We start from the raw sequence: 18,509 nt of genomic DNA, 5'->3' as shown, positions 1-18,509 counted from the left end.
TGGTAGTGATCGTGTTGGAGACACAGTGTTGGTGATTGTGGTGGTGGTGTCAATGGTGTTGGTCATGATGATGGTGACGATGGTGGAGAAGGTGATGGTGATGATGGTGGTAGCAGTGGTACTGCTGCTACTGCATCTGATTGCTCTCAATGAGGTTTTTGCAGTATCTGGCAACAGTAACAGTCAATCAGTGTTAGCAATGATGGTGGTTATGGTGGTAGTAGTGATGGAGGTAGTGGTGGTGGGGATGATGGTAGTGATTGTATTGGTGGTGGCAGTGGTGTTGGTGGTGATGATGGTGGTGGCACTGATGGTATTGTTCATGATGATGGTAGTGATGGTGAAGATAGTGGTGGTGATGATTGTGGTGATGATGATAGTAGTGATGATAATGATAATGTTGGTGATGTTAGTGATGATGATGGTGAGGGTAGTGGTGCAATGGTGATGGCAATGGTAGTGATGGTGTTGATGTTAGTGATGATGATGGTTATGGTGGTGGTGTGATGGCAATGCTGGTGATGTTAGTGATGATGGTGGTGGTGGTGATAAGATGGTGATGGCGGTGGTGGTGCTGCTGCTGAGACTGCTGCTGATTCTTCTCACTGAGGTCTGTGCAGTGCCTGGAAATAGTAACAGTCAATCAATGTTTGCAATGATGATGATTATTGTGGTGATGGTGATGGTGAAGGTTGTGGTGGTGGGGTTTCTGCTGCTACTGTTGCTGATTCTTCTCAGTGAGGTCGGTGAGGAAACATTTCTTCTTCCTGTGGTAAGTAACAGAATTATTTTCTCTTGACAGTTCCTGAGTATTTTTCTTGGTCTCTTTGGAGTAGACACTGCTCCTGACTTTCCAGAATATCTTTATTTACTCTCCAGAGATGAAACATCACAATTGTAGCTTAAAAAACCCCAATTATTTTGTTCTTCTTTTCCTTTTCCATGATATGTTCTTTTTCTTAGCAATCTCTTATACCTGGCTTTGGTTTCCTGTATCCCATGGGAGCTTAGAAGACCTTCCAACACCCCATCTAGTCAGGAGCTACTTTGCATTTGCAGCATGAATAGTGACCACCTTTGGAGAAAATACCTCTATAAAACATACCACTATAGACAATCAGTGATCAATCACGGATTGATGTCTTTACTTTGTGAGTAACAAGATAAGCTATAATACTAAGTATGCCCCCACTGGAAACTGTCCATGTGCTCATTTGCTCCTCTTGACTCACTTTTTCCTCACCTTCTTCCACCTCCTAATCATCCAAATTATGGTGGACACATTTGGGAGCCTCTCTTTGAAAACATACTCACATGTGAGACTCCCACATTCAGCTGAAGAAATATCCCACCTAAAGAGTAGGTGATAGGTGTAGCACAAATGCATACAGTAACACACAATCCAAACTAGGGGAAATAACAACCGACCCAGGAGTCTCATTCTCAACCTCTTTTGGTGTGCTTTCTATATTAAACCTCCATGCCAATATCATCCCTCACTCTGTATTTATAGAGCATTTTATATAAGCAATGTATCTTAGTTTGATCCCTGAACTAATACATTTGCTTTCCCCAACGCTCCTGTGAGGAAGATAGGAAATTCCATCCCTCTTTCATAACTGGGTAAACTGAGTCTCAGGGAGGCTTCATGACTGCTTTGCAGCATGCAGAAGTTTGGCAGCCTCCCGACTCAGGCTCACTTCTCCCTCTCCTGCCTCACACATGGCCCCATCAGTCTCGGAGGTCCTCAGCAGCATTGGCCACAGGGTCGTGGTCCCATATCCCAGCCTCCTTGTTTTTCTGTCACTCTGGATGATGCTTTCAAGGAGCTGTGAAGGATAACACTGTATGCACTCAGTCACCTTGACATGGAAACCTGGTTGGAGCAGCAATCTATTCTTGAGCATCATCAAGGATGCCAAAGAAAGGGCTCCGCACATTCCAGGAACAGATCTGATTTGGCTGAAAGGAAGAGCAGGCAAGGGAGGGAGCCTTCCCACTGTCTTTCTCCTCAGCTCACCATAGCTGGATGGACTCCCGGGGAGCCCCTGGGAGCTAAGCCCTGCTGACTCGGGGTGATCTGTGCTCACTCTCTCTGGCTGGATGCAGCCCAGCATGCTGACTCTGCTGGTGCCATGGCCAACAGCACCCTGCACCCGCACAGTGATGCAGCACAGGAGGCTAATGGAATTTTCATTGATTTTCTTGTCGAGGCCAGTGAGAGTGTCATATAACATGAAAGAACACTGGAGCCTAGTGTGGCTTACCAAGACCAAGGGGGCAGGGTCTATGTGTGTGTGGGCATGTGCAGCAGCAGCCTGCCAACTGCATCTGGGAACAGTGATTTAGATATCTTATCACTAGGCACACTTGAGTGGGATGGACATCCCACAAATTAGAATGACCATTCTGAGGCGCGCTCCTGGTCCTCAGTTTCCCTCCAAATCTGTGGTTGGTGATAAAACATAACATTCATCATGGCATGACAGATGCTGCCTTTATCCCTAGACAGTGGTTCTGAATCTCAGGAACAGCAAATGAATCACCCAGGAAGCTTACTGGGAATGTTGATTCCTAGGTTCCATCCCTAGAGGTGCAGGGTGAGCCCAGACATTTGCATTTTTACAAGTCCCACAGTGAAGCTGATGCAGTGGTCTATGGAACACTCTAAGAGGCACCAACACAGCTCTTGTGGTTTGCTCCCAGGGCACCCCATACTACCTCTTCTGTAAGCCATGTCTGCCAATTCTTATTAGTGGAGTTGGTAAAAATTCAGAGCCACTGGTGAAAAAACACTTGATCAGCCCTATTGAGGCGTCCATGGGACATAAGATCAGGAACTCAGCTTGTCCCAGAGGAGACATACCATGTGGCAAATATTGGCACTGGCTACCACTGTTTATGGCCAGGCAGCCCCTCTTCCCTGCATTGTGCTTGTGAAGCTTGTGAGTCTGGGCCACATGCCAATGGGGTCATGATGCAGGAGGCCTCCAGGTTGGGAACCTCTCCCACTTCCCTCCAGGCCCGTGGGAGCAGTTGGCAGTGCTGGGAAAGGGGAGCCCAGAGAGATCACACCCATGGACAGGGAGATACCCGTGGGGAGGACTCACGGCTTGGTCCACGAATCTTGATGGGCTTACTGCTGGCCATGGACTGGGAGCACGTTTGGCACACACATTCTTTACCGCTGAAGGTCACCTTGTCTCCAATGGGGAAAGGCTTCCTGCAAGTGGGATGAGGGAGAAATTCAACACACCCTCTTCTGAGGGATTCTGTAGCTGACCACACATGTGCTCAAAGCACTTTGGTAACACATACAGCTTGACTTCTAGAGCACCACGCAAATTCAAATGCTGTTCACAGTGACAGGCCAACTAAACTGCTCAATTAGGGGCCTGGCAGCAAGAACTGGAGCCCAGTTAGGCTGTTTGTATATTTTGGGCAGATCATGATGCTTATCTGACCTTACTTGTCTAGGCTGTAAGAAGTAGAGATTACTAACGCCTCAGATACTTGTTCTCTCTTCTGGAAGGACTTTTTCCATCCCAATTTGATTTATCCCCATATGTTAAGAATTCATTCAACTCACAAACTTACCAAAATTTCTTCCTTTTACTACTCAGGCATTTTTCAAAATCCCCCTTCCCAAGAGGAAGTTTGTAAGTCTGTAAATAATCTTTTACTCTCCTCATCTGGATTTGTTCAGTTTCCACAGCTGGGGAGTCTCAAATTTGCACATGCTCTGCCTCCCCAACTAAATTATGAACCATACACAGAATCCCTGGCACCACCACGCCTACTGTTGAGCTGTTCTCGCCCATGCAGTGGGATGCCTGTTATGAGGACTCTCAGCACAGCACCTAACATTGGCTCCCAGGGGCTCCATTGCCCTTGTATTAGCACTGTGGCACGATGGAGGGAGCACCAGGGTGAGAGTCGGGGGAGCTATGTTCTTATCGTGGCTCAGCCACTAGCTTTTGGTAGAAAGACATTGCGTGATCTTGGGGAGTCACCTGGCTTGACAGAGACCTCATCTTGTACCATAGGAACCCTCTGTGCTAACCTCTGATGGGTCTGGGATTCCAGGGCTCAGGGCTCAGGTTTTAAGAGCTGGGTAGATGAATGAATTCCACGAGGGGATTATGTTTTCTTACACACTCTGTCATTAGTCTCAATCAGAAACTCTAACTAGTTATTCTAACTGGTAAGTGACTGGTGGTTATTTTATGCGGAGAATAATTAATCCATACATTCCTTTCCCAATTAAAAAATACGTATATACTCTAATCATGCTTTACTTATGATGTAATCAGAGCTGTCCATTAACATTTAATGTATTTGTGGGTAGGGCTGAGCTTTCTTCATTTTTTCATCTCCTTAATGTGTTGCTTGGCATTCAGTGGAGTCTTAACGTACACTTGCTGAATTAACAAGTGATGGTGATGCGGAAGGTAAAGCAGGAGGCAGGGATGAGCTCTCCATCCCTGGAGATGTCCTGAGAGAAGATAGATGACTATCATCATGATAATGAAAAGGATAATAAAAACAGACACTCTCACATACTGATCACTGAGCTAATGCCTTTGCATCATCATCTCATTGATCTTCGAGAAAACCCAATGAGGTTGGAATGGCTTTGACCTCCATTTTACCTGTGGAGAAACTGAGGCTTACAGAGGTGGGGGTCACTTGCCAGGGTCACTCCAACAGCATGAGGTGGTGCCAGGATGATGGAGGAAGGCTATGTACAGACATCCCTGTCCCACCTGTGGATGAGGGTGTGGGAGGATGGGCCAGATCCACAGTTTCCAAACTGAGTTCTGAGAGAATCAGTGGTTTCTTTGGGGGCCTTTTGAGAGGAATTGGGAGGCTGAGTTTAGAGGTACAGATCCTCACTCTGCCTCTATCACAGGACAAACCAGTGTTTTAGATCAGATTGTATTTTATAAGAAAGATTCAGATGCTACAGTGTTTGAAAACCACTGGCCCATCAGATCCCTCCACACCTGAGGTTCCAGAAATCTAAATGTGCAGCACAAACCTTGTAAACCCCAGAACTTCCTGGAAAAAGCCAGGTCTTCCCCTGCCCCGGGGGCTTATGCAGAGGGTCCCAGGCCCTGCTGGTCGCCCACTCACCTGCACAAGCTGCACACGAAGCACTTGGGGTGGTAAGTGCGGCCCAGGGCCGAGATGACTTCGCCTGTGATGAAGTCCCGGCAGCTGTCACAGCGGGTGCCATAGAGTTGCTGGTAGTCCTGGGTGCAGATGTACTCCTGGTTCTTGAAGAAGAAGCCTGACTGGGCCAGGCCACAGCCACATACTTGGGGAACAAGGAGGAAAACAAGGGCAGGTTGAGTCCAGGGAGGGTCTGTAAGCAGAAGGTCCTCGCTGGGGGAAAGGCTGGTGTCTCACTGTGTCATGAGTGGCCACAGAATGGTAGCATGTCAGACTTCACAGGCCTTTGGGGCCAGTATTCCTTAAAGAAGTGGCCACAGAATGGTAGCATGTCAGACTTCACAGGCCTTTGGGGCCAGTATTCCTTAAAGAATGGCCAGTAGGCCACTAGCATCAGTATCACCCCGAGAGCTTCTTATAATCCAGATGCCCGGGCCTGAATCAGACTCCATGGGACTGAGGCCTGGGCATCTGCATTTGAACAGCATTCCCTCACCCGGATAGGCTGATTCTGATGCACACTAAGAAGCACTGGTGGTGTACAATCCTCCCAATACATGAATGAAAAGTTTAATGCCATGTGGCTCACGCAAGGCCACACAGCTGGTGGAAATATGAATGTAATAAAAGAATCATTCAGTTAAACATTTCCTGGGTACTTCCTATGTGCATGATTCTGTGCCAGGTGAAGAGCAGTGTGAGGACCATATGCTCCAAATCCCAACCTGGAGACACCTTCGGATGGCAATGGGATGGATGATTTGAAGTCTAGAATCTGTGCTCACCATAGCCATAAGGAGTGGGGGGTGTCTATTCTCAGGCAGGAAGAATAAAACACAATCCCTGAATCTCAAAGAGCTAAAAATGCTGCAGAGAGAAGATCATATAGAAAAAATGTCCCATATCATCGGTGATGGTCCACGGAACCGGTGCAAGCAGTAAGGACTGTGAATGAGGTAGAAGAAGGAAGCCTTGTCAGTTGCAAGGGATCATGGGAGGCTTTTCAGAGGAGGTAGCATCTGAGTTGAACACTAAAGGAACAGAATGAATGAGCCAAAGCACAGAGGCAGGAAGGTGCAAGTGATATTTGTGTAAAGGCTAGAAGTAGGGGTGGTGTTTGTAGGAAGTGGTGGGAAGTAATGCAGGAAAAGATTGTGCAGACCAGTTGGAGGAAGGCCTGAATCCAGTTTAAGAAGATTAGGTTTTGTAGGATACTGAAGAGCCGTGGACGTTTTTTTCCCTAGTTTAGAAAAATTTAGAAAAATATCTCAAACATATACAAAAATGGGAGAAGATTGTAATAATTCTCCATCACTCAGCTGCAAAAATGATCAATTGCATCGATGGCTTTTGAACAGAGATGCAACAGGATTTTACAAGGCATTTCCTAGTCTTTTGGAATATTCTTTTGGATAATAGGGAGAAATAAATGTAGGACAAAACAGAAAAACAAGTAGATTTATAGGTGTTTCAACAATTGAATTATGTGAGATCCACCCCCACTGAAGGACTTAGAAATATGAGATTTACTTGTAAGGAGTTAAGTTGTGAAATCAACACATGATGGGCAGAGCAGAAAGATGCAAAATTTCTTCCAAGGCAATAAATGGCTCACAGGGCCACCAGAACTGTAGAAACCCACTGAATGTACCAATCAGCTAAAGCAAGGATGCACCAGCGAGGAAGGGGCCTGATTAGCAATCAGAGGAAGGCAACTGCGGTGCCCATTCAAATCCTGTCACCAGCTCCCCTGGTTCTGAGGCTGCTGTCTGATGGACTGACTTTCCACCTAGATTGCCTCTGAGAGGCCAGGTGCTGGCCAGGCCACCATGAAACAATCCAACTCAAGGTCACACCTCTCATCCACATTGATGAACAGGTATTCGGGCTTTCTACATCAGTTTTCTGAGGAGTTGGTTAGTACAAGTCAGCTTTCTCAAGGGTGATCAATGATGGGAAAACCAATAAGATAGTTAGCAAGACTGTAAGTCTGAAGAGTCAACCTGGAACTGAGTGAAAACACCCCAGCAAATACTATCTCACCTTTAACAGGGGAAGTTGTTTTGCAAAAGCAGCCAGGTTAAAAATAGGAGAGACTGCCAGGTGAATGCCAGAAATATTTCATAAATGTTTGTTCACCTTTGGGGACTGGAGGCTTAAGGGGTGAGGCTGAGTGAGGAGAAGGCAGCTTCAGAAGTCACTGCATGAGGGGAGGGAACAGCTCAGGACAGTGGGAGACACAGTGGTCTGATAGTCAGACCACCCAACCTCTGGTCTCATCACTGCCACTGAGTCTCTGGACAACAGTGAACTTTACCCTCACTTCTCTGGGGCCTCTGTTCACTTGTACGCAGAATGAAGAGGCTGAGCTTTTCTTTTAGAACTGACATGCTGTAAGTCTATGAGAAGAAAAGCTTCCTTTAGCGCTTACTATACGCCTAAACATTTTAAACTCAGTGTGGAGCATTGCTTGTGGCCCCCGACCCCACCCCTACGAAGAGGCAGGAGTGTGGTGGAGATGGTGGTGGTGGCAGAAGTCTGGGAAGGGTTCATCTTCCATCAGGCATTATGAAAATTCATCACATCAAACAATGTCTGGTCTCACGAGCAGGCAAACCAGAGCACAGGCTGTTCTGGGCCGTGCAGGTGGTGGAACAATTGACTTCATGGCTGCGGAATCAATTAGGTCATGGCCTACAACCTCATTGGAAACAGCTCCGGTTTTTTCCCTTTTTTTTTTCTCTCCTTTGTCTCCTTTGCCAACTCCACCCCCAGAGCCACCTCTCCCAGTGGAGAAATCCAGGCCACCATAGGAAAACTTGGAACAATCAGTCCTCCATTGCCCCCAAGGAGCTGAAGGAGGAAGCTTTTGGTAGAAAGGATGTAAAGGTTGATAAGCCTCTCAGGGGTTCCTGGAAATACAGTGGGGAGCACAGGGATGGAAGGCAAGCTGGACCAGCATGACAGATGGATCTGAGGCTGAGTGAAACGCAATATTGAACGTTAAAACTGCTTTGAGCAAATCCGGAATAAATGCTCAATGTAAATATAAGGCCCAGAAGGAGGACTTGCACACAGCCCCAGAATGCGTCAGTGAACAATGTGATGTTTTGTAGGTTATTGGACCTTTGTCTGTGGTCTTGTTCTAGCACTCAAGTGCTGGGAGATTTTGAAAAAGTTATCCCAGCTCTCTGGAGCTCATTTGTAAGATGAAGGGGCTGGGTGGTTAACTGAGGACACATCTAGAACAGAAAGTGCAAGACTCTGTCATACAGTTTTAGTGATTTTCAACTTTTTGAATGAGACTGGATTTTATGAAATTTCAAAATCCAAGAGTTAGAAGGGCCCCTGAGGGTGATCTAATTCATTATTCAGAACATTTCATTGTGAAATATATTATACATAGAGAAAATGTATAGAATATGTATGTATGGTTTAAAGAAGAATAATAAAATAACTCCCATGTACCCACTACCGAGTTTATGAAACAGAACATCACCAATTCCTTAGAAGCCTGTTCTCCTCTCCTTAAGAGCACCTCTGTCCCATACCGTCCCTAATTATGTGTTTATCATTCCCTTGCTTTACTTTATAGTCTTACCACCTGTGATGTATCCATAAACAATATTTTGTTTAGTTTGGCCACTTTTTGAACTTTATGTTGATGGAGTCATACTGCAATTGTCCCGTGCCTGCTTCATTCCCTGAGTATTGTGTGTTGAGATTCATCCACGTCGATGCACGTAACTGCAGTTCACTCATTTTCACTGCTGTGCTGTATTCCACTGCCTGAATACATCACAGTTGGTCTACTCCACTGCTGAAGGGCATTTGAGCTACTTGCAGTTTTTTGCTTTTATGGAAATGCTGTTCTAAACATTCTTGCATTTGTGAGGTAATGCCTCACTGTTTTCCAAAGAGCTTTTCCTATTTACCTTCCCACCAGCTGTTCCCACTGATATATATCATCAACAGTACTTAGTAATATCTGACATATTTGGTCAACATAGTGGATGTGAAATGATATCATTTATCATTTTGTGATTTTTAAATTTCATTTCCCTAATGGTTAATCAAATTGAGAATTTTTTTCAAATGTTAAAATACTTGCTAATGTTTTTTGCTCATTTTTTACATTTTAGACTTGTAGAAATTCTTAATATATTTTGGAAATCAATCCTTTTTCAGTCATTTATTACAAATATCTTCTGCAATTTGGGGCTTGCTTTTGCTCCCCTTTTCTTGTTTTTGGATGAACCAAAGTTCTCAGTTTTTACGTTGTTGAATTTGTGAATCTTTTCCTTTATGGATTGCCCTTTCTGTGTCATGTTTCAGAAATTATTCTCTACCCTGAAATCCTAAAAAGGTATCTCCTATATTGTCTTCTAAAAATTTTATTGAGCTGCCTTTCATAGTAAAGCAAATCCACCTGGAATTGACTTTAGGGAATGATATACAGTAGGGATCTGATTTTCTCCCACATGCATAATTAATCATCTCAGCATCATTTATTAAGCAGTCTAATCTTTCCCCACTGATCTGCAAAAAGCAAGTTTCCATATGTATGAAAGTTTGTGTTTGGTTCTATATTCAGTTCCATTGGTCTTTTTATCTGTCCTTAATCCAAGATCACATGGTCTTAATAGGTTTTAATAACAAATGATGATATCTGGTAGGACAGGCCCTCTTGCTTTGTTGTTCTTTAGGAATGCTTTGATTATTCCTGGCCTTTTGTCAAGAATATAATTTTAACTGATTTCTTAATTTCTATGGAAAACCTTATGGAATGTATTAGAATTGTTTTGACTATATAGTTCAACCAGAGTAGAACTGTCATCTTTTTGATATTTCTATCTTTCTATCAGAGAATTTAGCATATTAAAAAATTATTTAGGTATTTAATGTCTTTCTTATGATATTCTATAAATTTAACAATTTTATAATTTTTATCTTATACAACTTTATAAAATTTATTTCTAAATTAAACTTTTTTTCTTGTTCAGGTAAATGGCGTCTTGATTGTTAATGGTGAATACAAATGCAATTTTTTTCTATATTTATTCTGTATTTAGTAACCTTAATAAATTCTTATTGACTTTCTTTTTAGTATTATTATTTCAGAATGTATCTCTAAAATATTAGGACTCTTTAAAAAAGCCAACCACAATAATCTAAAAGCACTGAAAATAATGTCTATTAAGGCATTATCAAGTCAGTGTGTTCAAGTTTTCCAATTATCCCATCCTTTTTTTCTTTTCTTTTTTTGTTTTAGTGACCAGTTGTTTGAATAAAAATCTATCAAGGTTCATACATTGCATTTGTCTGATGTACCTCTTAAGTCCCTTAATTGCTAGTTATTTTTCCTTCTTATTTTCTCCTTGCAATGTATTTATTAAAGAGACTGAGTCATTTCTGCAGTTTGGATTTTGCTGATTGTATCCCTATGGTGTTGATTAACTTGTTCTCCTCTCTTTTACATTTTCTATAAATGGTGGTTATATCTACAGACTTGAAATTCAGGTCTGATTATTTTTTTCTTTTTAGGAATAATACTACATTGATGTTCTGCACTTCTATGATTTGGGGGGTGGTGTTGGTGAGTAGAAATGGCTATTGATGATCATTGCTAGATACACTATTTCGTTAAAGCTTTGCAAAATTAAAATATTCTAATTATTTAATTCTTCATTTATTAGGCAGAGTGTTTCTTTCTTTTTTTTTTTTTTCTTTTTTTTTTTTGAGACGGAGTCTCGCTCTGTCACCCAGGCTGGAGTGCAGTGGCCGATCTTGGCTCACTGCAAGCTCTGCCTCTCAGGTTCATGCCATTCTCCTGCCTCAGCCTCCTGAGTAGCTGGGACTACAGGCGCCCCGTAGGTGGAGTGTTTCTGTAGATAGAAACTTTCATTAACCCTTTGCTTACAGTTAAGTACTGTACAGTTTGTACAATAGGTTAAAGTTTTGATTCTTTGCCCATATTATTTGTTTCAAAATAATGATTTCACCAGCATTATCTAAAAGTGACCAATGGGTTCTTTTCCTTTCTCCTTATTATAGACTAATTTTCTTATTGATTTTACTAAATTGTAGATTCTTTTGGGTTTTCTATGCAGACAATTATATAATCTAAAAATAATAGGTTTTTTTTTTCCTTTTCAAACCATATAACTTTTATTTCTATATCTTGCTGGATTGTCTAGGACCCTCCAGGCCAAATGTTGAACAGAAGTCATGACAGTGAGCACCTCTATCTTGTTCCTGATCTTAGAGAATGCCTTCAGCATTTTACTATTAAATGTTTCCTTTATAATTTTTGTATACATAATCTATCAATTATGACAGCTTTCTTCAATTCCTCCTAGTTTTAAAAATAACTAGGTATATGGGAGGCTGAGGCAGGAGAATGTCATGAACCTGGGAGGTGGAGCTTGCAGTGAGCCGAGATCGTGCCACTGCACTCCAGCCTGGGCGACAGAGCAAGACTCCGTCTCAAAAAAATAAAAATAAAAATAACTAGGTATAAGTGGGTGTTAAATTTTATCTAGCACCTTTTCTACTCTATTAAAATAATCAAATATTTTTATCCTTTCTTATCTTTATAGCAAAATACATTAACCAGTTTTCTAATATTAAGCCAATTTCAAATTTCTAGAATAAACTCAACTTGGTCAGTTATGCTATATTTTTCACACTTTTCTAAACTTGGTTTGCTAATATTTTGTCTAAGATTTTAAAATCCATGTTCATGAATGATATGGACATATGATTATTTTTCCTTGTTTGGTATTGTGCTGGCTCAAATGAGTTAGGAAGTGTACCCTTTTCTCTTCTCTGAAAGACTTTCTATAAGACATAGATGATTTGTTTTTGAATGTTTTGTAGAACTTGATTCCAATGCTGATTTTTGTTTCTTTCGTAGAAGAGTTTTAACTACAAATTCACAAATTCAATATCTTGGATGATTATAGGACTACTCAGGTTTCAAAATTTCTTCTTGAGTAGGTTTTAATTTGCACTCAAGAATTGATAAATTTTGTTATCTAAGTTTTAAAATTTATTACTCAAATTGTTTATAATATTTCTTTTTATGTCTTTAATTTTAATAGCAACTACAGCGATGTCCCTATTTTAATTCTTAATATTGTTGATTTGTATATTTTCTCCCATTACTTGAATAATTTTGCCAGAATTTTGTCTATTTTACTTGTATTTTTAAAGAATCAACTTTTGCTAATCCTGTCCACTGTGCGTTTTTTCTTTGATTAATGTCTATTGTATTATTTCCTTCCTTCTATTTTACTTGGATTCATTCTGCTCTTCAAACTTTTTGAGTTGAACACTTAGTTCACGGTTTTTGAACTTAATTCTTTTCTATTATGATAATTTAAGGCTACACATTTTCCTCTGAGTACCACTTTAAACTACATTTTGTAATGCAAGTTTTTGATACATAGCATTTTTGTTATCTTTCGGTTTCAAGAGTTTTCTGATTTTCATTAAGATTTTGCTAACCATGCCATCTTTCATCTCAGTTCTGCCATCTGGGATCATTTTTCTTCTGCTTACAGAACATATTTTATAATTTCATTTAATGAGAGTTTGTTGTTGGTAAATTCAGTTTTAAAAAATTTAAACATGTTTTTACTTTGCTTTGGGTCTTTTATTTTAACAGTTTTTGTTTTGTTTTGAGACAGGGACTCACTCTGTCCACCAGCCTGGAGTGCAGTGGCGTGATAACAACTCACTGCAACCTCCGCCTCCTGGGCTCAAATGATCCTCTCACCTCAGCCTCCCAAGTAGCTGGGACTACAGGCATGCACCACCATGCCCGGCTAATTTTTGTATTTTTTGTAGAGAAGAGGCTTCGCTATGTTGCCCAGGCTGCTCTCAAACTCCTGGGCTCAGGTGATCCACCCGCCTCGGCCTCCCAAAGTGCTGGGATTACAGGTGTGTGCCACTGCACCCAGTTCATTTTAACAGTTTTAATGAGATACAATTCACAAGTCATATAACTCAACAATTTAAAATGTACAATTCAACCATTTTTTAGCATATTCACAAAGTTGTGCAATCATTACCACTATCTAATTCCAGAACGTTTTCATCACCTCCAAAACAAGCCACAAACCCATTACAAATCACTCCTTATCTTCCTCCAACCACCCCCAGCCCTAGATAACCATGAATCTGCTTTCTGTCTTTATATAATATGCCTGTTTTGAGCATTTCATACATATGAAATCCTGCAATGTGTAGCCTTTTGTGACTGTTTTCTTTTACGTGTTTTCAAGGTTTATTCCCATTGGAGCATTTATTAGTATTTCATTCCTTTTTATTGCTAAATAGTATCCCTCTGTGGAGATAGATCACATTTTATTTATCCATTCATTTGTTGATGAAGATTTGAGTTTTTCTACTTTTTGGCTATTACGAATAATGCTGCTATGAACATTCATGTATATATTTCTGTGTGAACATATATTTTTATTTCTCTTGAGTATATACTGAGGAGTGGAATTTGGAATTGCTGGGTCATACGGTAACTCTAATTTCATCTTTTGAGGAACTGCCAGACTATTCTCCCAAGAAGCTGCACCATTTTACATTCCTTTCCACCAGCAATGTATGAGAGTTCTAATGTCTCCACATGCTCATCAACACTAGTTATCTATCTTTTTGATTATAGCCATTCTAGTAGATGTGAAGTGGCATCTCATTGTGGTTTGATTTGCATTTCTTTGATGGCTAATGATGTCGAGCATTTTTTCATGTGCTTATTGGACATTTGTATAACTTCTCTGTATAAATGTCTATTCATATCCTTTGCCCATTTTGAAATTAGGTTATTTGTCTTCTTATTATGCAATTGTAAGAATTCTTTACATAGCTGAGACACAAATATTTTTTCAGATTTATAATTTGCAAATATTTTCTCCTATTCTATGGGTTGTCTTTTCACATTCTTGATGGTGTATTTTGAAGCACAAAAGTTTTAAATTTTGATAATATCTAATTGATATATTTTTTCTTTGTTGCTTGAGCTTTTGGTGTCATATGTAAGAAGGTTTAGCACAACTCAAGATCACAATGATTTATTCTTATATTTTTTCCTAAGAGTTTCTCAATTTTACCTTCTACATTTAGGTCTTCAATCAATTTTTAGTTAATTTTTATGTATGTGTAAAGAAAGAGTGTGAATTCATTTTTTGCATATGAATATTCAGTTTTCCAAACACCTTTTTTTGAAAAGACCATTCTTCCCCTCTTGAATTATCTCAACAGCCTTGTTGAAAATTAACCAACCATAAATATAAGTTTATGTTTATATTTTTGATTTTATTCATTTCTATGCCTATCCTTGTGCTAGTACCACCCTATCTTGTTTATTATAGCCTTGTAGCATATTTAAAAGTGGGAAGTGTGAGTTCTCCAACTTCGTTCTTTTTAAAGATTGCTTGGCTATTCTATGTCCGTCCCTTGAAATTCCATATGAATTTTAGGATCAGACCATCAATTTTGGCAAAGAAGCCAGCTGAGATTTTGATAGGGATTGCATTTTCTATGGACTGAATTCTGTCCCCACCCCCAATTCATATGTTGAAGCCCTAACCTCCAACATCCTAGTGTTTAGAGATGGGCCTTTGTGTGATAATTAGGTTTAGATGAGATCATAAGGGTGGGGCCCTCATGATGAGATTAGTACTCTTAAAACAACAGACACTAGAGAGTTTGCTGGCTGTCCCTCTCTCCCTTTCTCTCTCTGCCATGCGAAGACGCAGCAAGATGGCGGCCATCTGCAAGCCAGTGCTGCCATCTTAATAATAAATAAGTCTTTTATTTTATGAGCAAGGGACACCTTTCCATTTATTTAGGCCTTGTTTAACATTTTGTAGTTTTCATAGTACACATTTTGAACTTCTTTTGTTAAATTCATTCCTATGTATTCCTTTGATGCTATTGCCAGTGGAACTGTTTTCTCAATTTTATTTTCAGATTGTTTATTGCTATGGTATAGAAATATAATTGATTTTGGTATTTGATCTTATATCTTGAAACCTTGATAAACTTATTAGTTCTAATAATTTTTTAGTATTCCTTGGGATTTGCTATACAAGATCATGTCATGTGCAAATAGAGATTAGTTGTACTTCTTCCTTTTTAATCTGGATGCCTTTTATTTCATTTTCTTCCTTAATTAACCTAGCACAAACCTGAAATGCAATGTCAAATAGAAGTGGTGAGAGCAGAAATTCTTGTCTTGTTTTTGATCTTACAGGGAAATGTTATATATAAAATTTCGGTGCTGCAAAAGGAATAGCACTAGAATATAAAATTTTCTTTTTAATTCTCAGCAAGGCAAGTTATTACTATAGAACGGTGCGCCCTTACAGATGGAGCAAAGGTGAGGGTGCACTTGGACAAGGGAGGGGAAGAGGTTCTTATCCCTGAGGCACGTGGCCCCTGCTGCTGTGTCGTTTCCCTATTGGCTAGGGTTAGACCGCACAGGCTAAACAAATTCCGACTGGCTAATTTAAAGAGAATGACGGGGTGAGTGCTTTGGCGGGAGTCAGGGCAGAGCAGGTAGCAGGTAATCTGAATGAGTTAGGGTGGAGCATGTGATCAGAATGAGTCAGGGTGGAGTAGGTAATCAGAATGAGTCAGGGTGGGGTAGGAAATCGGAATGAGTCAGGGTGGAGTAGGTAATTGAAAAATGTTGCTTTACGAGGAAGTTAAGTTTAAAAGTAGAAGGCAAAGAATTGAACATACTAACGTATTAATTCTTTGAAAAGAAATTTAGAACTCATATCTAACAGAAACATTCGGTCTTTCACCATTAAGTATAATCTTAGTTGTAGGTTTGTCTTTGTTATAGAAAGATAGTTTTGCTGAATACATAATCTTTCCTTGACAGTTATTTCTTTCAGTACATTAAATATATTCTTCTGCTGTTTTCTAGTTTGCTTGTTGCTACTGAAAAGTCAGTTGTCTGGCCATTTACCATTTATACGCAGATGATTTGTCTTTTCTCCCTGGCTACTTTTAAGATCGGCTCTTTGATGATCTGAGGTTTTACTCTGATATTGTAGGTGGATTTCTTTTAAATTTTCCTGCAGGAATTTATTAGGTTTTCTGGATTCAAGGATATGTGTCTTTCAACAGCTCTAGATAATTCATAGCTGTTGTCTCTTCAAATATTGTCCTCCCACTCATGTTCTCTATTATCTATCCCCAGAACTCTGATTAGATATATATGTCAGGACCTCTCACTATATTCTCCATATATTAGCTTCTTTTTTATTTTTACCACCTTCTCATATTTTTGATCTATTATCTGTATAACTTTTTTTGGATGAAATCTTCTGTTTTATTAATTTTTTCTTTAGCAACATCTAATCTGCTATTTAATTGATACATTGAATTAATTTCAAAGATTATATATTTCTATTTTTAGAAGTTTTATTTGTTTCCTTTTCAAATCTTCTGCACTATTGCTTATAATGCACTGTTGTTTTTTTTTTGCTCATATTTTCTAGCTTGTTTAAATGTATCAATATAGTTATTATGTAATGACAGGAAATTTCAATATACAAAGTTGTTGAGGTTCTGATTCTGCTCGCCATTGTTTCTGCTGGCTCTCATTCCATTATAATTTGTATGTTTTTGACTGACTGTGAGTTACTCATTTTCCTGATAACACTATGTGTGGAAAGTCTTTGAGGCCTGGAATAAAGTTGAGTTCCTCCAAAGAGGAGTATCATTTGCTTTTGCCATTTGCCAAGTGGGAGACCGCTGTAACTTAAATTTTCTGCTTGACTCTATTACATATTTTATATATTGTTATAAATTTTTATTTATAACAAATATATAACACGAATATAGTCATGAATCCATGTAAAGGGTGGATTATGGACAGATATTTTCATAAGTAATTTTTCATAATTTTTTTTTTCTTTGAGATGAAGTCTCAATTTGTCACCAGGCTGGAGTGCAGTGGCGTGATCTTGACTCACTGCAACCTCCACCTCCCGGCTTCAAGCGATTCTCCTGTCTCAGCCTCCTGAGTAGCTGGGACTACAGGCACCTGCCACCACACCCAGCTAATTTTTGTATTCTTAGTAGAGGTGGGGTTTCACCATGTTGGCCAGGCTGGTCTCAAACTCCTGACCTCGTGACCCTCCCACCTCAGCCTCCCAAACTGCTGGGATTACAGGAGTGAGCCACTGTTTTATTCCCCTCTACTCAGTGCCAAAGTTGGAACAGGCAAGTTTCCTTGCTCTCTCCCTCTCCAGAGCCAGTTTATTTCTCATCCATCATATGCTGAGAATATTTTTTTCAGGGGAAACAGCTTTATACATAGGTCTCCTATTGGATTCCCACTTTGACTAGATGCTAAGCTTTGCCTCCTGTTCTCCATGATCCATTTAGACAACAGAGTAAAAGCTCAAGGTCTCCAAGGTTTAAGATAAACTATCAGGATGAAATAAGGCATTGGGAGTCACAGCAGGGTTTCTGTTTCCGTTTTTAGCCTTCGTAGATTCCTTCCTTTCATGTCAGCATGGTAGTGCATGTTAAAAGAGTCGTAAAAGAAATTCATAACAATTTTTAGATTCTTTAGATGAGAAAGCTATCTAATAGGGTACTTAATTGTCATGTTGATTGCTGTTGGAAATAAAAATCCTCTCATTTCTTTTACCTTTAAGCAAACGGACATTGAAAATATTCAGAAAAATATTGGTCTATTTTTTTCCCCTTAAAATCTCTGTTGAAAGAGATTCTACAAACTCCGTGTGGTAAATGTGAAAATGGCCAAATTATTCCGTTCTGTATTAACACCCTTGAAATCTGATGCTGCAGATCTCCCTACAAAAGGCAAAGTTTATTTCTCCGTGACCTTGAATCTGGGTTGGCCATTTGGCTTGTTTTGGCCAACAGCAGGACATTAAGCTGAGGGTTGAAAAGGTCTTACCTATTAAAGCTTGTTCTCTCATTGTACTTGGAGCTCCGAGACCACCATATGAACAAGCCCAAGCCAGCCCATTGGAGGATGAAAAGCTATGTGGAGACACTGGGGTTAGCAGCTTGCCAACCACTGCCAGCAGACCCACCCGCCAACTGCATATCATCATGATGAGGCCAGTAGAGATAAGCAGAGCTAGAAACTGGGAAACACTTCCCAGCCAACCCAGAGAATCATGAACTAAATAAACGATTGGTTTAAGCTATTAAGTTTTTGCTTAAGTAAAAGGTAACTGATACATTCTCTTAAGAATATAATCACATAATTATATCCTTTACCACTTTGTAACAATTTCCTTGTCTTTACCCTTCGTCCCGCC

The 18,509-nt window shown here is 40.1% G+C and overlaps 1 protein-coding gene across 14 annotated transcripts in view, besides 1 other annotated feature; it reads right to left on the bottom strand.

The window, feature by feature from the left end:
• ABLIM3 (actin binding LIM protein family member 3) overlaps positions 1-18,509 on the bottom strand; it is a 119,050-nt gene that overhangs the window by 57,004 nt on the left and 43,537 nt on the right. For all 14 annotated transcript variants that reach the window (NM_014945.5, NM_001301018.3, NM_001345858.2 and 11 more), the window contains 2 exons: positions 5,137-5,320; positions 3,111-3,223 (listed from right to left, as the gene is read on the bottom strand). In NM_014945.5, the coding sequence (NP_055760.1) occupies positions 3,111-3,223; positions 5,137-5,320 (297 nt within the window). The remainder of the gene's footprint in view (positions 1-3,110; positions 3,224-5,136; positions 5,321-18,509) is intronic.
• Positions 15,111-16,310: an enhancer, noted in NCBI's record as "BRD4-independent group 4 enhancer chr5:148566792-148567991 (GRCh37/hg19 assembly coordinates)". NCBI's record gives its function as "activates an origin of replication core promoter dependent on BRD2, P300/CBP, MED14 and CDK7 cofactors, and independent of BRD4, by STARR-seq in HCT116 cells {active_cell/tissue: HCT116}" and the evidence as "EXISTENCE:reporter gene assay evidence [ECO:0000049][PMID:35650434]".

Source organism: Homo sapiens, chromosome 5 (assembly GCF_000001405.40).
Source record: "Homo sapiens chromosome 5, GRCh38.p14 Primary Assembly".
In the NCBI taxonomy this organism is placed as follows: Eukaryota; Metazoa; Chordata; class Mammalia; order Primates; family Hominidae; genus Homo; species Homo sapiens.
Note: the sequence above shows the minus strand (reverse complement) of the source record. Positions and strands in the feature narration are given on the sequence as shown.